This window comes from Homo sapiens, chromosome 16 (assembly GCF_000001405.40).
Source record: "Homo sapiens chromosome 16, GRCh38.p14 Primary Assembly".
NCBI classification, from domain to species: Eukaryota; Metazoa; Chordata; class Mammalia; order Primates; family Hominidae; genus Homo; species Homo sapiens.
In genome coordinates, this window is record NC_000016.10 from 22,538,880 (window position 1) to 22,540,733 (window position 1,854).

Consider the following 1,854-nt stretch of genomic DNA (forward strand, 5'->3'; position numbering starts at 1 on the left):
TGAACCCCGGAGGTGGAGGTTGCGGTGAGCCAAGATCACGCCATTGCAGTCCAGCCTGAGCAACAGAGCAAGACTCTGTCTCGAGAGAATAAAAACACACAAAAAATTAACTCGCCAGGATGGCACATGCCTATAGTCCTAACTACTTGGGAGGCTGAGGTGGGAGGATTCCCTTCAGCCCAGGAGTTTGAGGCTGCAGTGAGCCACTGTGATTGTGCCACTGCACTCTAACCTGGGCAAAAGCGAGACCCCAGGCTAGAGTGCATGATTTTGGGTCACTGCAACCTCCACCTCCCAGGTTCAAGTGATTCTCCTGCCTCAGCCTCTTGAGTAGCTGGGACTACAGGCATGTGCCACCACGTCTGGGTAATTTTTGTATTTTTAGTAGAGACAGGGTTTAGTAGAGACCATGGTGAAACCCCATCTCTATTAAACAAATCTCTACTAACCCCATCTCTACAAAAAACAGCTGGGCGTGGTAGTGCACACCTGTAATTCCAGCTACTTGGGAGGCTGAGGCACGAGAATCATTTGCATCTTGGAGGCAGAGTTTGCAGTGAGCTGAGATCGCACCACTGCACTCCAGCCGGGATGACAGAGCAAGACCCTGTCTCAAAAAAAAAAAAAAAAAAGGGCCGGGCGCGGTGGCTCACGCCTGTAATCCCAGCACTTTGGGAGGCCGAGCGGGCGGATCACGAGGTCAGGAGATCGAGACCATCCTGGCTAACACGGTGAAACCCCGTCTCTACTAAAAATACAAAAAATTAGCCGGGCGTGGTGGCGGGCGCCTGTAGTCCCAGCTACTCGGGAGGCTGAGGCAGGAGAATGGCGTGAACCTGGGAGGCGGAGCTTGCAGTGAGCCGAGATCGCGCCACTGCACTCCAGCCTGGGCGACAGAGCGAGAGTCCGTCTCAAAAAAAAAAAAAAAAAAGAAAAGAAAAAAGAACAAACAACAGCAACAACAACAAAAAAACCTCTGTGTCAATCACAGCCTTCGAGCTAGGGGAGAGGCGGCCGAATTCTGCCCTCCGCTAACGAGCTATAGCTTTGTGGAAATGGGCGAGTGGCGTGCCCTTGTGAGCCTCAGGGCCGCATCTGTAAAATGGGCATAACTGTCATGCCTGTCTTTAAGAACAGCCTTGGGGGTAAATGAGTGGAACTCATGGAAAGATCTCAGCCCACAACCTTCCACAGAACAGGCGCTTCTCACACAGTAAGTAGCAGGAGTGCAGAGGCTGCAGGCATGAATCCAGCCAGACTGCCTGGGTTCAAGTCCCAGCTCCCACGTCTTGGTAACTAAGTGGCCTCAGACAAGTTACTTAGTATTTCTTCTTCTTCTTTTTTTTTTTTTTTTCAGACGGAGTTTTGCTCTGTCACCCAGGCTGGAGTGCAGTGGTGTGATCTCGGCTCACTGCAACCTCCGCCTCCCGGGTTCAAGCAATTCTCCTGCCTCAGCTTCCTGAGTAGCTGGAATTACAGGCACCTGCCACCACACCCAGCTAATTTTTGTATTTTTAGTAGAGACAGGGTTTCACCATGTTGGCCAGGATGGTCTCGAACTCCTGACCTCGTGATCTGCCTGCCTCAGCCTCCCAAAGTACTGGGATTATAGGCATGAGCCACCACACCTGGACACGTTACTTAATATTTCTGTGCCTTGGTTTCTTCATCTGTGAAATGGGATTGTTGTGAGAATGCAAAGGGATTCCCAGGGCAGTTCCTTGTGCATAGTCTGGCTGCCTTTGTGTGTGTGTGTGTGTGTGTGTGTGCATGTGTGTGTGTTTAATATAGAGACAGGGTCTCACTATGTTGCCTAGGCTGGTTTCAAACTCCTGGGCTCCAGTGATCCTCCTG